General features: G+C 38.2%; 1 protein-coding gene across 6 annotated transcripts in view, besides 1 other annotated feature; it reads right to left on the minus strand.

Moving 5' to 3' along the window:
- Positions 8,613-9,812: an enhancer, noted in NCBI's record as "P300/CBP strongly-dependent group 1 enhancer chr4:22386916-22388115 (GRCh37/hg19 assembly coordinates)". NCBI's record gives its function as "activates an origin of replication core promoter dependent on BRD2, BRD4, P300/CBP, MED14 and CDK7 cofactors, with strong dependence on P300/CBP, by STARR-seq in HCT116 cells {active_cell/tissue: HCT116}" and the evidence as "EXISTENCE:reporter gene assay evidence [ECO:0000049][PMID:35650434]".
- Positions 10,696-22,265, minus strand: part of ADGRA3 (adhesion G protein-coupled receptor A3) — a 128,691-nt gene continuing 117,121 nt past the window's right edge. For 4 of the 6 annotated variants that reach the window (NM_145290.4, XM_047449703.1, XM_047449704.1 and 1 more), the window contains 3 exons: positions 15,865-16,010; positions 12,408-12,503; positions 10,696-12,267 (listed from right to left, as the gene is read on the minus strand). In NM_145290.4, the coding sequence (NP_660333.2) occupies positions 11,025-12,267; positions 12,408-12,503; positions 15,865-16,010 (1,485 nt within the window). In that variant the 3' untranslated portion in view covers positions 10,696-11,024. Of the gene's footprint in view, positions 12,268-12,407; positions 12,504-15,864; positions 16,011-21,179; positions 21,459-22,265 lie in introns of those variants that run through there. The other 2 variants (XR_007096381.1, XM_005248137.6) reach the window with 2 other exon arrangements.

Consider the following 22,265-nt stretch of genomic DNA (forward strand, 5'->3'; position numbering starts at 1 on the left):
TGCACGCTTGGATCAGAGAAGCATGCTCTTGGCCACCTGGAAGATAAGGAAACATCCCCAACCCCTGCTGGGAGATGAGACTCCCATGAGGGATGGGCTGATTACAAAATGGGCTGATTAGCTTTGGGTTGCCTTGCAATGAAATGCAGGGTAGAAGCACTGCACTGTCTTCCCCCATAGAATTCTCTCCTTTTGGGGATCCAGGATCCAGTGTAAAATGGCACCCTTAATTTTAGGGATCTGTCTTTGCCTTCAGCTGCTTATTTGCTACTTATTTGGCCCTAGAAACACATGCTTTCCTGGCCCTGTTGCTCCAAGGGCTCCACCCTGAAGCCAGTAATACAATTAAGAAACTGGCAAATAAAGAATCTTACAAGTGGTAAATCTTCTGTCTATTTATGTGTTGTATGTTTATATGTAAAAGGGCTCTAATTAATTGGCTTTAAAAATAAGCACTTAAATATTTTGTCAGAAAAATAGAAACTTTAATGCCTTTTTGTTCATATGACTTTAGTAATCTTTTGAAAAATAAAGACGGTTTTAAATATTATCGGTAAAATGACTTGAAAATGTAGACATTTGGTCTAAATTAAGGTCAAATATCAGATTTGTTAAATGCTTTAAGGTCAAACTGAGTTTGACCATCTTGAGTTAATTTTTGTATAAGGTGTAAGGAAGGGGTCCAGTTTCAGTTTTCTGCATATGGCTAGCTAGTTTTCCCAACACCATTTATTAAATAGGGAATCCTTTCCCCATTGCTTGTTTTTATCAAGTTTGTCGAAGATCAGATGGTTGTAGATGTGTGGCATTATTTCTGAGGTAACTATTCTTTTCCATTGGTCTATATATCTGTTTTGGTACCAGCACCATGCTATTTTGGTTACTGCAGCCTTGTAATATAGTTTGTAGTCAGGTAGCGTGATGCCTCCAGCTTTGATCTTTTTGCTTAGGATTGTCTTGGCTATAGGGGCATTTTTTGGTTCCATATGAAGTTTAAAGTAGTTTTTTCTAATTCTCTGAAGAAAGTCAATGGTAGTTTGATGGGAATAGCATTGAATTTATAAATTACTTTAGGCAGTATGGTTATTTTCATGATACTGATTCTTCCTATCCATGTTTTTTCCATTTGTTTGTGTCCTCTTATTTGCTTGAGCAGTGGTTTGTTGTTCTTCTTGAAGAGGTCCTTCACATCCCTTGTAAGTTGGATTCCTAGGTATTTTATTCACTTTGTAGCAACTGTGAATGGGAGTTCACTCATGATTTGGCTGCTTGTCTGTTATTGGTGTATAGGAATGCTTGTGATTTTTGCACACTGGTTTTGTATCCTGAGGCTTTGCTGAAGTTGCTTATTAGCTTAAGAAACAATGGGGTCTTCTAAATATACAATTGTGTCATCTGCAAACAGAGAAAATTTGACTTCCTGTCTTCCTGTTTGAATACACTGTCTTTCTTTCTCTTGCCTGACTGTCCTGGCCAGAACTTCCAGCACTATGTTGAATAGGAGTGGTGAGAGAGGGCATCCTTGCCTTGTGCCAGTTTTCCAAGGGAATGCTTCCAGCTATTGCCCATTCAGTATGATATTGGCTGTGGGTTTGTCACAAACAGTTCTTATTTTGAGATACATTCCATCAATACCTAGTTTATTGAGAGTTTTTAGCATTAAGTGTTTAATTTTATCAAAGGTCTTTTCTGCATCTATTGAGATAATCATGTGGTTTTTGCCATTGGTTCTGTTTATGTGATGGATTACGTTGACTGATTTGCGTATGTTGAACAAGGCTTGCATCCCAGGGATGAAGCCAAGTTGATAGTGGTGGATAAGCTTTTTGATGTGCTGCTGGATTAGGTTTGCCAGTATTTTATTGAAGATTTTTGCATTGATGTTCATCAGGGATATTCGCCTGAAATTTTCTTTTTTTGTTGTGTCTCTGCCAGGTTTTGGTGTCAGGAAGATGGTAGCCTCATAAAATACATTAGGGAGGAGTTCCTCTTTTTCTATTGTTTGGAATATTTTCAGAAGGAATGGTAGGTACCAGCTCCTCTTTGTACCTCTGGTAGAATCTGGCTGTGAATCCCTCTGGTCCTGGGCTATTTTTGGTTGGTAGGCTATTAATTACTGCCTCAATTTTAGAACTTGTTATTGGTCTATTCAGGGATTCGACTTCTTCCTGGTTCAGTCTTGGGAGGGTTTGAATTTATCCATTTCTTCTAGATCTTCTAGTTCATTTGTGTAGAGGTGTTTATAGTATTCTCTGATTGTAGTTTGTATTTCAGTGGGATCAGTGGTGATCTCCCCTTCATCATGTTTTATTGTGTCTATTTGATTCTTCTCTCTTTTCTTCATTATTAGTCTGGCTATCAGTCTATCTGTTTTGTTAATCTTTTCAAAAAACCAGCTCCTGGATTCCCTGATTTTTGAAGGGGTTTTCATGTCTCTATCTCCTTCAGTTCTGCTCTGATCTTAGTTATTTCTTGTCTTCTGCTTGCTTTTGAATTTGTTTGCTCTTCTTCTCTAGTTCTTTTAATCGTGATGTTAGGGTGTCGATTTTAGATTTTTCCGGCTTTCTCCTGTGGGCATTTAGTGCTATAAATTTCCCTCTAAACACTGCTTTAGTTCTGTCCCAGAGATTCTGGTACATTGTGTCTTTGTTCTCATTGGTTTCAAAGAATTTATTTATTTCTGCCTTAATTTTGTTATTTACCCAGTAGTCATTCAGGAGCAGGTTGTTCAGTTTCCATGCAGTTGTGCAGTTTTGAGTAAGTTTCTTAATCCTGAGTTCTAATTTGATTGCACTGTTCTTAGAGACCTACAAAGAGACTTAGACTCCCACAAAATAATAGTGGGAGACTTTAACATCCCACCCTCAATATTAGGCAGATCAAAGAGACAGAAATTTGACAAGGATATTCAGGACTTGAACTCAGCTCCGGACCAAGCAGACCTCATAGACATTTACAGAACTCTCCACCCCAAATAAACAGAATATACATTCTTCTCACCACATCACACTTATTCTAAAATTGACCACATAATTGGAAGTAAAATACTCCTCAGCAAATGCGAAAGATGGAAATCATAACAATTTACCTACTTTAAAGCCATTAGATTCCAGATAAGGCCTGGGGACATGTGGACTTAGCCACGTCCCCTAGCTATGCTGGAGCATCAGTTTCTTATCTGCAGTTCTGCCTGGTGTGTCCTAGGCTAGACACCACACCTAGTACACAATTAAAATTTCTTACTAACCAGGGTTTTCACCAAAAGTAAAAGTTGCTAAAAGTTAACATTGTAACATGTAATTGAGACTATCGAAGAAACAGTTTTACATGCAAGGTGTGTAAGGAAAGTAAAATGTACTTTTGGTAAATATTATAAGAAGGCATGAGAATGTGGATTTTTTGCCCAAAAGGTTAAAGAATTGTTTTAAGTTAGAATAAAGCTAACGGTTTGAACAGTTGTGGAAGGTTTGAAAAAATTAATTGTGAGAGATTCTGTGTGCAAACATATTGGCTAAAGTTAAAGGGGTATTATTCAGTTTTTCTAAAAATTAAACATTGGAATAAAAGCACCACAGGTTTTTCTTAGAGCACTAATCTGCTCTTTCACAAAAATAAAGGGTTATAAAAGTTTTATAAGAATCTTATCTTACAGTTAAACATTAAAATTGGGTAAATATGTCCATACGATTTTATTAAAACGGGTTTCAAATTAATAGTACATTAATGTAAAGGTAAAATTTGGCTTATTTGGTATAAAAATCATACAGGAAGCATTATCAAATGTGAAATAGTGCTTTGCTTTCTTTGGACTATAGTTACATAAATGTGTTATTGGTATATGTTCCAAAGCTATGGGAAACTCCTATAATTCTAATATGGTTTAATGTGTTAATTGTTATGTAAAATTTTGTGTGCCACAGAAGTAACCAAATTTCCTTATCAATTGTGGCTTTAATAGTGGCTGTCCTAAAACTTCCAGAATCGTTCACAGACAATTGTTGTTTTAATCTCTTTAGAAGGTGGTTTATAATCAACTATAGAACTCTAGCAGGTGTTCTTAAATGCAGGTTTTCTGATAACTTTGTAGATTGTGACATCAGAATAAAGGAAAAAGCTTTCAGAACCCTCACAAGGAGCTGAAATGTTCATAACTATCAAATAGAAGTTAACTACATGGACTAAACTGAAGAAGTGTAATCTTTTTAACTTTGCTTAAAATGCTGCTGATCCTTTGTTTTGCTTTTCAGAGTTAAGAATACTTTTCTTTTGAGTTATTTACAGCTTTCAGCAATTGAGTAAAATACCCTCCTGTGAACAAAATTTGGAGCATTATTTGTTTCTCTCTCTATGATTTCTCCAAAATTTGGAAACTGTGAGTATTCTTAATTTATGGCTATATAGTTATTTGCATAAGTGCAATAACAATCTGTTTTCTTTTGTAACCGGACACAATTGGAGAAATTGGTTTTTACCAAGGCTTCGACTGGAATGGTGTGTTTTCCTTTAAGGAATCAAACCTGACTTGTAGAGCCAATAAAAGCCCTCTGGGGAACTGGCCTCATACCTCGCCTATATAGTCCCTGTATAGGGTTTCTGAACTATGGTAAAGAATGTCACTTTCTTACAGGCCTAGGAGCCCAAAGTTATCTTGGGACCTCAAAAAGAAAGGAATTTACCCAACTTATAGGTATTTGAGGATACAAACTCATGGAGGGGCTCGGCTTTAAAAAAGTCTTATCTGAGATTCCTTATGAAACAGAGTTCCTTTAAAGCCAATTAAAAAGTCTATGTGAAAAATAATTATTCTTGCTGCACTTTATACAAATAATCAGGCCAATTATAATAAAGTAAATCAGTCTTACCATCAATTGTCTTTAGTAAAAATAGGAAACTGGAGAGAGAAATAGTATGTTTCAAGAACTATGGTAAACTTGTTATTAAATTCTAGTCTCATCTGTTGTTTTAAGTTTGTTTCTGCAATTTAGGCTAATCCTGCTTATTCCTGTGAACCAACCAGTGATCTCTGACTGCTGCTCAGAAGAAACAAGAAGGATGGGTAATATAAAAATCTGGATTAGTATTCTAATGCTGGGCACATTACAATCAGCTAACAACCCCATACCAGCTTAGTTCCAACAGTTGCCCAGTTCATAAAAAGCCTTCTAATTTAGTTTACTTGGAATAACTTTATTTTGCTTTACTTTTATGGAATATATTGCTGTTCTACTCTTCGTGCAGGAATACAGGACAAGCTTACTGAATGTTTTAAATTGAACACTTATTAATCTTCCAGATAACACCTCTTGTCGAAACTCGAGTCGTAAACGGCCCTCGCCATACTGATGCTTTCTGATTGAGCTTCTGTCTACCCTGAACACAAGAGACCCTAATAGTTAGGCAGGAATATCATCATTCCTATTCAGCCTGAAGAAGTTACAGAAGATGAATCTTTGTCCATCTGCAACCCTTAGGATTAAGGGTTCTGTTATAAAAGGGAGGGTGGAAATGTCAGAGGCATGTAAACCAGAGCAACTCCAACTTAAATAGGAGATGGGTGAAATGAGGCTGAAACCTACTGGGCTGCATTCCCAGACAGTTAAGGTATTCTAAGTCACAGGATGAGATAGGAGTTCAGCACAAAATACAGGTCAAAAAGACCTTGCTGATAAACAGTTTGCAGTAAAGGAGCCAGCCAAAACCCACTAAAACCAAAATGGCCAAAAGAGTGACCTCTGGTTGTCCTCACTGCTACACTCCCACCAGCACCGTAACAAGTTTACAAATGCCATGGCAACGTCAGGAAGTTACCCTATATAGTCTAAAAAGGGGAAGCATGAATAATCCACCCCTTGTTTAGCATACCATCAAAAAACAACCATAAAAATGGGCACCAGCAGCCCTCGGGGCTGCTCTATGGAGTAGCCAATTCCTTTATTTACTTTCTTAATAAAGTTGCTTTCACTTTGCACTGTGGACTTGCCCTGAATTCTTTCTTGCACGAGATCCAAGAACCCTCTCTTGGGGTCTGGATCAGGACCGCTTTCGGGTAACACTGTGAACTCAAAACATCTGAGACAAGTCTCAGTCAATTTAGAAAGTTTATTTTGCCAAGGTTAAGGACATGCCCATAACACAGCCTCAGGAGGTCCTGATGACATGTGCTCAAGGTGGTAGGGGTACAGCTTGGATTTTTACATTTTAGGGAGATATGAGACATCAATCAGTATGTGTAACATGTACACTGGTTTGGTCTGAAAAGGTGGTACAACTCGGTCTGGAAAGCCAGGAGGGGGCTTCCAGATCATAGGTAGATAAGAGACAAACTATTGCATTCTTTTGAATTTCTGATTACCTTTTCATCGAATACACAATTTATAGTCACTTATGCCTTAGTCTGGCTTAGTGAAACAACAGGGCAAAGGAAGCAATCAGATACGCATTTGTCTCACATGAGCAGAGGGATGACTTTGAGTTCTGTTTGTCCTTTGTCCACAAGGAACTTCCTGGTGGGCACATTGTGAGGAAGTATGTAGCTTTTTTTTTTTTTTTTTTATCTTCATAGCTATCTTATTTTAGGAATAGAATGGGAGTCAGGTTTGCCCAGTGCAGTTCCCATTGGCTTGACCTTTTCCTTTGGCTTAGTGATTTGGGGGTCCTGAGATCAATTTCCATTCACAGTACTCATGACCAAATCCAGCTTTGCAAGCAACCATGTCTTGCAAATATAGGTCCTGATTAGAACATCAAAATTTATCCATAAAAGCAAACCTTCATCAGTATTATATGCCAAAACAGGGTGAACACAATGATTACAAAATTGAAGATGTGATTAGCTGGATTCTTTGGAATGCATCTGAAGAGTCTTCTGAAAACATTTTGAACTTTTTGAAAATACCTGATAAAGGTCTTCTTAAACCAGATGGCAGCAGTAAATAATGGATTACATATACATACACACACACAGTCTCTTTTCTCCTACCATTTTGTAAATATGATGCAATTAGGTTAATATGTGTTTTAAGCAGCATCAAACAAGTTTGTTGAACAGAAGACTAGTGAGATTTGGGCCAGGAAGTAATTCTAAGCATTGAACTTTATCAGAGAACGTAGTGGTCCACCTCCATCAATGACTCTATAAATGTAAGCTTCTTAATACTATGGTCCTGTAAATTCACATTCAGTATCTACTTCTAAGCCTCTGGCATCCCCAGTGAAAGGAGGCTGAAGAAAAAGCTTTATCCAAAGGCTGCCTGGGGCCTCACATAATACAAAGCTGGGTCGGGTCTACAAAAAAGGTGGAAAGACCACGTTTATCAGCCAACAACAACTAAGTTAACACACACTGTACATGTTCATCAATCAGTATCCCCCGTAGCCCAGTTATGACCACTGCTTAGGAGCTTCTCATGGCCAATAAAAGACATGGCTGTGAAATGATCTGAGTAGGTCAGAAGGATTCAAGAGAGTTCATACCAAAACTAAACAAACAAACAAAAAGCAGAATTTCATTGGTTACAATCTCACCTTTGTCTAAGACCTAGCAACATGCAGTCACATTTTTAGCACTGGCAGATTACAAACAATGAAAAATTTCTCCTTCAGGAGAAATTGCCTTGTTTATACAAATAAATCTATTGATTTTATTTTGAATTTATTATTGCTTATATTTCAATATAATATATTGAATAATATATTATATATTATTCAATAATATATTATATATTCAATATATTCAATAATATATTATATATATAATAAATATAATTTATTATTGCTTATATTTCAATATAAGCAATAATCCATGGACAGCATTAATACAAGTGTTAAGAAAAATATAACAAAATTAGCAAAAGTGACAGAATGACTCAAATTTGGAAAACATCATTAAGTGATTATGAACAATCAAATCACCTCTCAGATAAAAGCACTGGAGTCAATATTAAAATAACTAAATGATTACTGGAATCCAAAAAGAAAAACAGAATTAAGATTTGTTTTAAATTTTGGATTGCTGTTGTATGCCTCACTTACCTTGATGATTTAGTTTAATTCCTGCATCAGATGTTTTCAGTTAATGTTTTTACTTCCTAATTTTGTATGTTCTCAACCAACTTCAGTTTGGGCATTCTGAACTCAATACTTGAAACATGTAAGTCTGTTCTAACATTGTTGCTTCTCTATAATGAGACCTATGTATAGATTCCAATCAGCAACTAAACCTAAGTTGCCATCTGTATATATTACTAATATAAATATATTGAACATACATATAGTTACATTGTTACATTTATCCAAAATATCCTGAGATTTAAAAATCAGTTGCCACCTATTAATGACCTGAAATATTAATATACATGTACGTTAGTATATAAATCTAGTCACAAAAATAGTCATACACAAATCTAATTTCTAACTGTTACCTAAAAAGCAGGTTAGTATATAACATTATATATGTAATCTGTAGATATAATGTTTACATTAAGAAAACAACTTTTGGCTGGGCTCAATGGCTCGTATCTATAATCTCAACAGTTTGGGAAGCAAGGGTTGGAGGATCACTTGAGGCCAGGAGTTTGAGACCAGTCAGGGCAACACAGTGAGACCCATCTCTACAAAAATAAAAAGAAAAACAGCCGGGCTACTGGCTTGTTCTTGTAGTTCCAGCTACTCAGGAGGCTGAGGTGGGAGGATGGCTTGACCCCAAGAGCTCGAGGTTACAGTGAACTATGATCCCCACTGCACTTCAGCCTGGGCAACAGAGTGAGACCTCAACTCTAAAAACAAAACAAAACAAAACAAAACAACTGTCATGAAATAAAAGAATCATAACTGTTTCCTTAAGCAGAATATAACCAACTATACCTTATTATGAAACTAAAACTCAAAACAACTAAGATAAGAATAAAGTCTGATACAATTTTATAGATAATAAACACCGTAAAAGCAATGAAATGTGTTGCCAAGCACGGCGGCCTCAGCATTGGCAAACATGGTTCTAGCCGTGGGCATGGTATAACCTGCCAGCATGTCCAGCAAGCCAGAAATTCTTTGGATCTTAGTTGTCAAATTTTTTAAATTAGGAAAATGATCATGCTGATCTCTAAGAAAACTGAAACATCTGTTAGCAGTTTACAATTCTATGAAAAATAGAGAATCTCAGCTATAAATCATAAACGACAAAGGTGGGAGGAATACAATATATTACTCACTTCCTATATACAAATATCAAAACTCTAATTGAAATACTAAGGATGAGTAAGTGATCGCTCATCACTCTCCACGCTATGAGTAACAAAATCCCCTTGAACATTTTTAGCAGAATCTCCATCTTCTTCCAAGTGTTTGATTTCTTTTCCAGTCCTTCCCCACCGCCAGCACCTGTTCTGTTACCTAAAATAAGGCATGTTTAAATGAATAAATGCTTGCTGAATGGGCAACATCTTCCAGGAAGGAAAATTCCTCACTTCCTATGCAGAGGCAGGAAAAAGAAGAACAAGAAAGTTATCTCCCTAGGTACAGCTGACCAGCAGGTCAAACAGGTTAAACACCGAGCAAACAAAAAAATAGTGATAAATAAGAATTATTCACTCCATTTCTTATTAGCTTATCTTTGTCATTTCCAAACACCATCTTGTACATAATATATCAATTTACCAGGAGACCATAAACCAGGAAATATAGCCAAATCTATCCACTGGCTGCTTTATTTCCCCCACCATAAAATAACATCTCTAAAACTCAAACCTAAAAGGCTTAAGTAGAACTATCGGTTTTATTATTGTCAAGCAAAATAACATTTCTAATGCAGTAACCCAGTGAAAAGTGAACATTTACACTAGAATGGGTAATCTCAGGATGGCTCAGAGAATTGTTCTCTGTACATAAGCAGTTAATCTCTCAGAATTTGAAGTTTATTAAGCTAAACGGCTTGATTCTTTTTTGCATTTCTCGAATATGTACTTTTGAATCCAATCTGATTCAAACCTTTAGACTTCCGCTGAAAAGAGATCAAAGTTGTGTCAATTTTGCAGACATTGTCTTGCATACGAGAGAACTGAGAACCACAGTGAGACTCAGGACAGGAGATGGGTTAGACTGCAGTGTAGCAAAGACCAGTGAGCGAGAACTTTTGCAGTAGAGCTGTTTTTAGAATTCCGGAATGGGATTTAATCAGTACTTCAGCATGAATCTAAGGAACTTTATCTGTTTAAGTACAAAATAAAAGTCAACATAAGAGCCAATATTGAAGAATGTGAACCTTAAGTGGTAGCTCTTCATTTGCATTCAAGAATAACTTTCGTGCAGCAATCACCCCCACCTGGCCACACCAAAAAGAGTAAGAAACTTAAGACCGAATATAAAGCAATGAAAAGGCCACGACCATGTTGAAAATAGTATTAATAGGATCCAAGGAATAACGCAAAAGTAAGGCAACGTAGGAAGTTTTTTAGGCATTTCCATTTTCAAAAAACATCCTGAGAGATCCTTTTAAAACCTGGTAATATTTAAAACTAGACTTATAAAATACAGCAACCCAAAAATCACTTTGATTTATGTGCCAAAATCAATACACTTAACCATGCAATATATATATATAACTGACTTATGTGTAACTCTAATTAAAATACCCCAAACCACTAATTTCATTAAAATAGAACTAAATGCTTATATTGTAAAATATAAAAATAACAGATCGACACAATAACAAACACCTATTTATTATATTAAATACAAGCCTGAAATATTAAGTACAAATTACAGATTCCAAGAAATTACATTTCACATCCCAAAATGTCCTGTTGGTGCTTTGACAACTAAAACAATGTTTTAGAAAGATTTTGTTTCAGATCCTAAAAAATAGCAACAATTTGGGGATAAAAATAAGTAAAATCCAAAACTTCAAAGTTTATTCCAAATTCTTTTGAATCCCTATGGTGGCTGTAAACAGTTTTTAAATGCTCATAGCTTCAAGGAATGTGAGTATCACAGTTTATATGAATTTCTGCCTAGGAAGCCCAGCAATGTTACACAGTAGTTTCGTGTTTCCATAATCCAGTCCTAACATTGCCAGTGCTATCGGTACCGAGCAAGGGTCCCTCCTGCCCATTGCTTTTAATTGGTCCATTCTGAATGGCCAAGTTGAGGCCATAAGATTTTTGCTGATTTTCAAGTTCAACCACAGCTGGCTTCCTTAACGCATCTTTTTTACTAGTGGTTGAAACTGGCTTTTCAAAATTTCTGCTACTTTTGGGAAGTGTGCTACAAGCATCGCTGCTGTCTTGCTGGGGTGGGTTGTACTGTCTCTCTCTGTAGGCTAAATAAGCTCTTCGGCTCCTCGAGTGTCCTTCGTTATTGCCCAGCCGGCTTTTAGGTAAGCCGTTCTGCACGCTTCCTTCCACGCTCGTTGGGACATCGTAGGCATATTCTCTCAGGACTGTGAGTCGGCTTGCCCGGTGTCCTTTACTTCTGTTTTTATGGTGGCGGCTTGAGTGCACATTTGTTCGAAACTGAACTTCTAAAGGCGCCACGTGCATTTTAATATCATTGTCCATTGAATGTTCTGTCAGACTATTATCAAGCTGAGGGGTGGAGTTCAAAGGTAAAGAATTGGCATGGCACTGAGCTGCAGCCGCCTGCAAGTTTGTTAATTTGCAGCCCTGGGAGGAATTTTTGAAGCTTGAAGCACTTTTGTTTGTGCATGAAGACTCCGCACTGCTATTGGGGCATTTGGGTGCCTCTCCATTCGTCCCATTAGAGTTGGGGGGCTGGACGTTGACTTGCACTGAATACGAGCTCCGTCCTGGGCAGCAAGTCATGATCCACGCAAGTCTAACATCCTCCCTATTAACACAATGGTGGACCACGAAGAACGCACTGAAGCTTAAACTTGTGGCTCCAAAAACGAAGCTAAAAACCAAGTCCAAAGGGTAATACAAAGAAACAGCCAAAGCCCCAAACATCCACAGTGCAACATATAAGAGCAAAGTAAGGCTGGCCCCCAAGAGCTGAGAATGAAAAGTGTGCTCATTTTCCAAGGCTGATGTAGAAATCAGAGACAAAGACATTGAATCCTGATGATTTATTTCGCCATTTTCATTGGCTGCCAATCTCTGTTGCTCCTCCGTGGGCTCCTTAAGCTCATATTTGCGCTCAGGGTGTCTTTTCAACTGAATAAATATGCTCAGAAAGTACATGCAGTTTACAAAAGTGATGAAGCTGGCTGGCCCATAGAAGGCTCCCAAGGAGGGTTCCCATGCCATCCAGCAACTGGAAAAGAAAATGGTAAACCAGATCGATGCTACATGTTTCAACAAATTATCTACGAAATTGCAATCACCTGTAATGCCTAGAAAATACTTAAAAGAGAAACAACTGGGTCAAGTACACAGAGAATATAAAATACTCACTAGGGTGCGTTTGGCCGACTGCCGTAATTCTTAATGTTCGCTGCTGCAGTTATGCCGCAAACAATGATGGGGATACCACCACCAATCAGGTAAAATCTAGAAGGAGGAATCACAGGAAAAACCACTCATCATTCCATTTCTTAACATGTATCTCTCATAATGTCTCAGTACTTCAAAAGTCATTCCCTGAAGATTAATTATTATCTTTATTCCAATAATAAGCTGAGAGTTAAGTTGGGAGGCTGATTTATTAGCAGTAATGTGTTTTTATTTTGTTTTTTAGATTTCTTGTTTTAAAGCACAAGGTCTAGTAAGTTTCTGAGTAGAGGAAAGCTGATCGGCTTCTGCCACCTTGTGGACAGGCAAAGTAACACTCTGAGCCTGCTGGTAGGATTTCAGCTTACTTACTCTTACTTTTTTTTTTTTTTGTAGCAGGAACTGGCTTCTTTTAGATTCAGCCGGTGAACTGAAAAGTGCCTTAGTTCACACAAGAAATGTAATGACATATTAATTACTGACTAATGTTCAGCTCAACCTGCATGTCCCAGGACTGCCCACTGCTGTGTATCTCATCGCCAGTCCACTGAGATTAAGGTAAGGAAGGTATCTGGATCCCAGCAGCTTCACAGAGTGCAGAGGCCCTACCTGACCCCTTTTCCAAAGAGAGGTGGGGACAGCAAGGGAAATGATGGTGCAATAAAAACTGATTGAAACAGAGCAGTGACTGGTCCTACAAAGAAAAACTCTGTGCTCATCTCTGAGCTCCTTGATCTCTCTGAAAATAAATTTCCATTCTGGGTAAGTCAGAATCTTAATTTTGCGTTTGCTCCTTCCTGAGACATGGCCCCAAATCTTGCACTGGGTGGATAAAGGCAATATCTCTGATACATTTGTCCATATATTGTTTCTTCCTTGTACCTAGTTACTAAAATCCTTTAACATGATGTTAGTACTGCTGAAAACTAATTACCCTATAAAACTATAATTCTGCCTTCTATTCCACAGATTAGAGAGATGCCAATAATACGTGACCTTCCCCTTCTTCCTGCTGTACTAATTCACATCTGCTTCTTACCTGAAAAGAAAGTATTATTTCCAAAATTAATCTTGGGTCCTATCACCCTCTCTGTCTTCTTTCAACGCCCCCTACCCCCGTTCTTGTTATCAAATAACCCTATTTTGCATCTTTAAAATCTTCTCTATTGCTTATTTCTAGCATGCTTCTCTACTGCTTATATATATATATATATAAAATACATATTATATATATATAATACGTATTATATATATATAATACGTATTATATATATATATAAAATACGTATTATATATATATAATACGTATTATATATATATATAAAATACGTATTATATATATATTCAAGTTTCCCCATCTTCTAAAACTTTCCTTGAACTACCACTTCTTTTCTCTCTTCCTTCTGCCAACGCTGGTACCACCACTTTCTCGCCTTTATCACCTTATTGTCAGCTGTACCCACTCACCACCATGATGCTAAAAATGTCCTCTCTGGGGTCAGAAGAATCTCACTGGCAAATCTCGTGTCCCACCCTCCAGGTAGGCAGCAGTGTTGCTCAGGCTTCCATAAGCTCAAGGATATGGGGGAAGCAGGGCTAGAGGGCGGAGCTTGAGCTGTCTAATGCAAAGAGGATACTTGTGTGTCATTTGGGGACTGCAGAGAGTTTGAAGCACCAGCTGCCTTTTCCTTAACTCTTTATCTTTCTTCTCAGAACCTTATAGGAATGAACAGCTGCTTAAGGTTAAGATTCCCAAGTTTCTAAGCCAAACACCATCATCTCTCATTTCTCTTAATAGAAGTGAGGGAGGTGTCAAATCTCATCCTACAACATAACTCTGGGGCCACGGAGCACCCCTGCTGCTCCTTGTCAAACACAGAACCACTCTCCCACAAATCATCCATGTTCTCGGGTGTTCTCTTTCTGCAGCCAAAAATCCAGTGACTTTTTCCACGGCCCATCTATTAAACATTAATAAGGTCCAAGTATCGTTCTTTTCTTAACTAACTTCTCCCTGGGAGTTCCTATTCATTATCATGGCTTCAGTGACCACATAAGGAAATGTCTCCTGCTCCTCCTAGACAATCTCTAGCTTGTCCTCTCTGCTGAGCCCTGGACTTCTAAAAAATGTAAACATTCCACAAGAAAGTACTGAGGAGCCTGCCACCCCATTTCCCCTCTCCATGTCTCCCCCGCCCACCTGCCATTTCTGCTTTTCCTATCTTATTTCTCAGTTGATGGAAACACCCTCCGTCAAGGCACGCTAGCTAGCTAGAATAGACAACTTGCAGCCATCTTCAAATTTCTCTCCCTCACACAACTCTCTTAAATCCAGCTGGACATCAATCCTAGAGAAACTGCCTCAAGCCTCTCAAACTTGTGTCCTCTTCTGTGTTCTCCCTGACACTGTTCTGGTCTTCATGGGGGCTGCCCTAATAACCTCAGCAGAATTCCTTGTTCTTAGGAATTCTGATTTATACTCCATACTAGAGCCATAGCTATCCTTCTAAAATGACACCATGTCAGGCCACTCCCTTAGTTAAAAATCTTCAGTGGCTGCCCACATTTTAAATAGGACACACAAAGGCCTCAAAGCCAACTTTCATCCTGAATTCCTGCTACTTGACACCAAACATCTGAGGCTCCAGCCAAACTGCATTCCTCAAGGTTTCCTCAGCTCACTCTTCACTTCTACACTTTGTCATGATCACAGTAAAGTTCACGCCAGTGGTCCAGCATTTCCTAACAACCCCCCGCCCCCAAAATTAATGGCTTCTTTCTTTACATTTTCAAAGAACCTATCTCCACTATGCTTCTCACACAGCGCAGTCAGTGCTCATGCCTTTCTCCTCCTGCAGACTATAAACTCCCAAAGGGCAAGGGAGTCTTCTGTAAATCCCTGGCCCAGGGCCAGTGACATATCAGGCATTCAACAAGCTTGGTCATCACTGATAGATTTTATTCATCCAGCATGATAATCCATTTACCACTTTTCATATTATAATGGATAGGAAAAACACACAAGTCTTCTTGTCCTTTGCATAGAATAATTAAACTGATACATACTTGAGTATGACATAAGACCTCAAGGAAATAAAAACAGCTGACAGTTTCATAGAGCCGATTATATGGCCAATCCCCTCTTAAGTGCTTTGCCCATTTACTCATTTATTCCTCACAACTCGAGGATGGGAGAATCAGCCCCACTTTTGAGATGATCTTGGAAGGCTCAGAGAGGGTACAGAAGTTGTCTGAGGACTCGCAGCGGGAAGGATGCCTGAGCCATTTTCAAAACCAGGCAGTCCTGCATACAAGTCCGTTCTTTTACTTCCCAAAATTCACTCAGCAATTTTGTTATAATTTATGATTATGCTTCAATGAAAGCAAACAAAACAATTAATACAACAAAGATATGAGATACCTGAGCATTGGTCTTGGTGGAGGTGGTGGTTCATCAGGATCCTGGCATCTTTTAGCTTTTTTAGTGACTTGTTTGTAGATATTTCGAGCTGTCACTCCTACCCATAGTACTGTGGCAAGGGTGGAATAGTGAAGAATTATCCCAACCTACAAGGAAGATCAAAGAATAAATAAAAGAAAAAAAATGTTCCTACTAAGGCTTACCTCAAAATTGGTAAGTAACTCAGAAGTCTGATTTGAAAGCAGCAGGAAGGCCTATCCTAATAATCAACTCTGTTGCCTGCTAAGGCAACACTGTGTTCTAATAGACATGTGACAGGGAATCACAATCCTCAAATACACAAACCAACAATTGGCTCTAGGAAGCCCACAAACTACCATTTATACCAAAGACGACCCTTAATACAGGACAGAACTGGCTCCCAGACATTAAACCAAAAGTGTGTTTTTCATAGATGTGACATTATACATTAGAGTTCATTTTCTTTTTTTTTTTTTTTTGGGACAGAGCCTCGCTCTGTCACCCAGGATAGAGTGCTGCAGTGTGATCTCGGCTCACTGCAACCTCTGCCTCCTGGGTTCAAGTGATTCTCCTGCCTCAGCCTCCTGAGTAGCTGGGACTACAGGTACGCACCACCACGCCTGGCTAATTTTTGTATTTTTAGTAGAGAGAGGGTTTTGCCATGTTGGCCAGGCTGGTCTCCAACTCCTGACCTCAGGTGATCCATCCACCTCAGCCTCCAAAAGTGCTGGGATTACAGGCATGAGCCACCATGCCCGGCCTAGAGTCCATTTTCTAACATTCTTTTTAAGGAGGAATATACAGAGGGCACAGGTTAACTACAGGGTGAAGGCCACAGCACACACAGAATAAGTTCCAGAGTAAGAGACCTGAGATATGATTCAGAGCTTTTATACACTGTAACAATCACAAAGCAATATAATAATATATTGATGGTTAAGAGGGTGAACTCAGAAATGAAATTTTCCTTGATTTTTAAACTGGTATTCACCTCTTACCTGCTGGGTGATCTGAGCAAAGTCACGTAAGACCTAAAGTGCTGGCTTCCTCACTTGGGAACCAAGAGTAATATAAAAGTACTGTGAGGTTAAGTAAGATGGTCCACATTAAGCATTTAGCAAATCGCCTAGTGTGTGACAAGCAATTAGTAGAAATCACTATATTATTACTTATTAAGAATGTGATTTTGAGGAAATAATGCGACCTCTCTGAAATTAACTTTCCTCAATTTAATAGTAGAAAATTATCAATCGCCACCTCTAGGGGTTTCGTAGGAATTGAATGGACACAATTCATGGGATATAATAGGTGCTCAGTAAGTATAGGATAACTGCAATATATGCAAATGATACACTTACAGTTTCTATTTATCACATGACCTATACATGAAGCAACTCTAGTTGAGGATGAAATTCTAGATGAAGATGTGAGGAAATGAGAGAAGCTTAAATTTTAGTTTAAGAAAAGTAAATGTCATATGTCACTGGAGTATCAAGGACATAATCCAGCTTTCTTAACCAGTAACTTGCTTTTTTTTAATCACTGCTTTTTTATATAATTATGAAATTCCAAGAAAAAATCTGTCATTCTAAAGGGATGCCTCTCCAACCTCAAGAAAATCAAAGGTCGATAATAAAATTATGGACCACTGTCCAGAGTTTATTTTAATGAGAACCAATCTGCAGCAAACACTTGGTGACCTGAAAGCCCAAATCTTCTTTTGCAGGAGAAAGCCAGGGTGGCCCCTCTCCAGATAAACCTTGCAGTGGCTCTGAGGTGCTGGGAGGTGGGATCAAGTTTGGCCCAACTACAAACGTCAGAAATGATCGTCTTAAAAAGAAAAGTGGCTTCATGGTTCCCATTAGTTTTGCTGACTGCGCTGTGAAAGCAAAATTTATAGACAGAAGTGGAACAGAAAGCATAAAATAACCCTTTTGAGCTATCAAGTCACACCAAATACTGTAAGTAAAAATAGTATAAATGAATTTGATGCATAGAAACCAATAAATTCAAAACAAATCAGATGCTGACTCAAAATGGTCAACTCTACTATTGCTGGAGGTGTCTCTGACACAAAGGTCAAAAGAATGAGGTAGGGCTCTAAAATACAAAAGTAAAAATACAGGTTAAAGGCAACTCCCACATAGGAGGTGTCAAACAAAGAATTTTCTACAGGGGACAAAACACATCTTTAGGCACTGAAGTGTTTTCTATGGCATTTCTAAATTTCCAGAGGAGGTTTACTCTTAAAGATACTGAAGCCTGATTATTACCAATAGTGGAATTTTAGGGGTATGATGACATCTGCTAACACAGTCAGGAAAGCAAATCACTAAATATTCTACAAATTTCAGAAAAAATGAGTGATTAAAATCTAGTAGGAAAGATTTTTTAATCTTTTGGAATGTAGTACTTCCTACTGTATTCTCCATCTCACACTTTGTCTACATGAAATACAACCTTGCTATCACATTTTCTTCCAAATAAATCAGAGATGTACATGGCAATTCTGTAAATTATCTAGAAGTAATCTAATTCATAAGGCATGTAAATAATTACTATTATTAACTAATGTTAAATGCAGTAGATTATTACTCAAGAAAGCCACCTTACCTCGGGACACTAATTTCCAAAGTTGTAAAATGGGTATAAAATAATTATCCTAAAAAGTTCCACTCTATGTATTTGTTATCTAACTGTAAACTCTCACATACTAGAGTTCATTTAACAACCAATACGCCTACAGCAGTGCATTATGCATAACAATTGTGCCAAAAAATAAACTTTATGATGAATACAAGCATATAGATGATGAATATGTAAACAATTAAAATATTAACAGCTTCCATTAATAAATGCCTGCTATGTATCCAAAAACATATTCTTGCATGTGATTTCACTTTATCCTTTTATCATCACCATTAGGTCAGTGTTAATCTTGAGATATGAAAACAGAGACTAAGACTGAGAGAAGTCACCCACTAGAGATTACACAGTCAATAGTACGGCTGTCATTCAAACTGAAGTTAGATGGTTCCAAAGCCCTTGCCCTTTCTTCTCCCCTACGGTGTCCACTACTAAGTACTAAAGCAGAGTGATGGGGGCTGAGAGGCACTCGGAATCAAACGGACTAGCATTTGAATCATGCCTCTGCCACCTAATGGTCCTAGTGACTTAGGGAAGTTATTTCAGTTGTCTATGATTCAGTTTATATAGTTATAAAATACACAAAGAAAAACTACCTCCTAGGGTTAATATGAAGGTTAAGACATAAAACATGCACAGTAGTTGACAAGTAGAATGGTCTTAATATTCACTGATCAGATTTTTCCAAATACATCTCTTGTGCCATTGCAGCAATCCTCTAAATAACAGATCTCAAGGGCACCTAACAAGGGTGGGTGGCACTACATTTAATAAATTCAATCATGGATTGGTGGAGCAACAAGGTATCTTAGATAAGATCCAGCTGAATCCTTTTATGGCAGAGCTAAGAAAACCAAGGACCAAAAAATTAACAACCAATTATTTGGCAGTGTATCATGAACCAGAACACAGATCCCTTCCAGACTTGAGTCAACGGCCCTTGCACTTCGTCACTCAACTTCTTAGTTCTCCTTCAGCACCTTTAGCAAAAGAGAGTTAAAGGCCGTAGAAAGCACCTAAGGTCCTACCTGAAATGAATTTAGAAACCAGAGTGAGAAGTACCTGGCTGGTAGCACCTTTAATAACTTCAAGCAATCACTGTGAGGGAAGAAACTACATTACAACCCATTTATACTGTTCATAAAATATGTAAGCTCGCAAAGGGAATAATAAAGACAAACTGCACATAAAAACATGTACACATGAGGGCTCAGGTTGTCAGAGGTAAGAACCTTAACAATCATTTAACTTAACTAGCCTGACCCATTTTATAGAAGAAACGTTAAGCCCCTACTAGGTTAAGGGACTATTCACATAAGCTGTTCTGGCAGGACACAAAATTAGAACCCAGCTACTAGGATCTGGAATCCTAGACTAGTCCTTTTTGCATTCTACCACTCTGCTCTCGGCCGGTGATTACCTGAATTGAGTATTACAGTGACAAAGTGAAGCAAAGAATGTCTGAGTCAGAAATATAAGAATGATGCTATGTCTTTCATCAAAGGGAAACACATTATAAACATAGAAGAGAACGACAATGAAACGTCTAGACTTGCCTTTCCCTTTTGTAAACCTTTAATGGCATTTGTTCTTGAAGCCCTAAAAACTCATTGCAATTCCTCTCTTTTTCCATTTAGAAATGGTAGAAAATTCCACTCAGGACAATGAAAGGCAGTCATCTTTACAACAGCGTCTTTCCATTCATTTCCTTAGTGAAATAAATTTATGTGTCTGCTTCAAGAAATCAATGAATACTTTTAGACACAATGAAGACCTTTATTGCCACTGTGTGCTGAGTACTCTCCTAATAGAGTCAAAATGGCTCCAGGTTTGAATGCCTTCTAATGTGCAGACAGAGGCTTCTTTTTGTTCATTCACCCAGTAAACATTTGCCCAGCATCTATTATGGGTCAGGCCTTGTACTGATCCCTGGATAAGCACCAGTGAATCAACTACTGTAATTCTTTTTTTTTTTTTTTTTTTTTTTTTGAGATGGAGTCTCGCTCTGTCATCAGGCAGGAGTGCAGTGGTGCAATCTCGGCTCACTGCAACCTCTGCCTCCCAGATTCAAACAATTCTCCTGCCTCAGCCTCCTGATTACCTGGGACTACAGGCGAGCGCTACTACGCTCAGCTAATTTTTGTACTTTTAGCGGAGATGGGGTTTCACCATGTTGGCCAGAATGGTCTCGATCTCTTGACCTCGTGATCCGCCTGCCTCAGCCTCCCAAAGTTCAACTACTATAATTCTTATGCTTGTAGAGCTTGGAGTCCAGGGAGAGCTTAGAGTTCAGAGATAGTTAAACAGTAAATCATAAAGTTTCATAGGCAGTATGGAATTTTAGTAAGGACCTGATATGATTTAGTTGTGTCCCCACCCAAATCTTGAATTGTAGCTCCCATAATTCCTATCTGTCATGGGAGGGACCCAGTGGGAGGTAACTGAATCATGAGGGTGGGTCTTTCCTGAGCTGTTCTTGCGAAAGTGAATAACTTTCATGAGATCTGATGGTTTTATAAAGGGGATTTCCCCTGCACATGCGCTCTCTTGCCTGCTGCCACGAAAGACATGACTTTGCTCTTCCTTTGCCTTCCACCATGATTGTGAGGTCTCCCCAGCCATGTGGAACTGTGGGTCAATTAAACCTCTTTCCTTTATAAATTACCCAGTCTCGGGTATGTCTTTATTAGCAGCATGAAAACAGAATAATACAGGTCCACAGAATAACACTGGGGGATACAGGAACAGAATCTCCGAAACAGTAACAATAAAGTGAGACCTGCAAGGTAAGTGGGAGTCAGCGACATGAAGAAGAGGAGAAAGACTGAGAACACAGAGGAGCTATCTTCTACACATGGATGTAGTTGATCTGAGACCCATCATCTGACTTCTTGTAGGCAGTTTGTTTACAGATGTGTAGTAACAGCCTAAAACAAAAATATATCACACAGATGAGAGGTAATTTCATCAATAATACTAATATAATAGTGGTAACAGGTAACATTTATTGAACAGTTAGTATATGCCTGGTACTCTTGAGATGCTTGAGTCATTTAATCCTCTCAACAATTGTTACACACACACATTTTAAATTGGATCTCAGGTATACAATATTGGATTAATCATAAGCCACAGTATCATCTCACAGTCTAATGAGTGGGCCCAGCACAACCTGCCTTTATTTAGTTACTGTTAATAGTATGATAAGTACATAAGAATCTACCAGCAAGACACAAGGTAGGACCTTGTCAATAATCTGTTATCTAATCATATGACCCCCTCATCACAGGTAACTATCACCCTATTATATCCTCTGTATCATCACCCTACAACCTCTGTTCATCACTCCCTTGCTTTCTCTTTTATAGTTTTATTGCACCTATTTTTTGTTAAAGTGGGCTGTTTATTTTAGTGATTTTTACCTTTATTAAAAAAAAACAAATGGTGAATGTTAATTTATCGGACTTACTTTTCAACTTTTCACTTAAAACTAATTTGTGCTTTTCTGCATTGCTATAATTCATTGGTTCTGACTCTTGTATAATAACACAGGGTTTGTTAGTTCACTCTCTCTGTGCTGGGCATTTGGGTTGCTTCCAGGTTTTTGATATTGTGCATAGTGCTGCAATGAATATTCATATCCATGCTCATATTCACGTGCACACAGGCAAGGTTACTCTGAGTACAGGAGTGGGGCTGCTGGGTTCCAGGGTACATGAACATGTAACTATAGA

The sequence above is a fragment of the Homo sapiens genome, chromosome 4 (genome assembly GCF_000001405.40).
Source record: "Homo sapiens chromosome 4, GRCh38.p14 Primary Assembly".
NCBI lineage: Eukaryota > Metazoa > Chordata > Mammalia > Primates > Hominidae > Homo > Homo sapiens.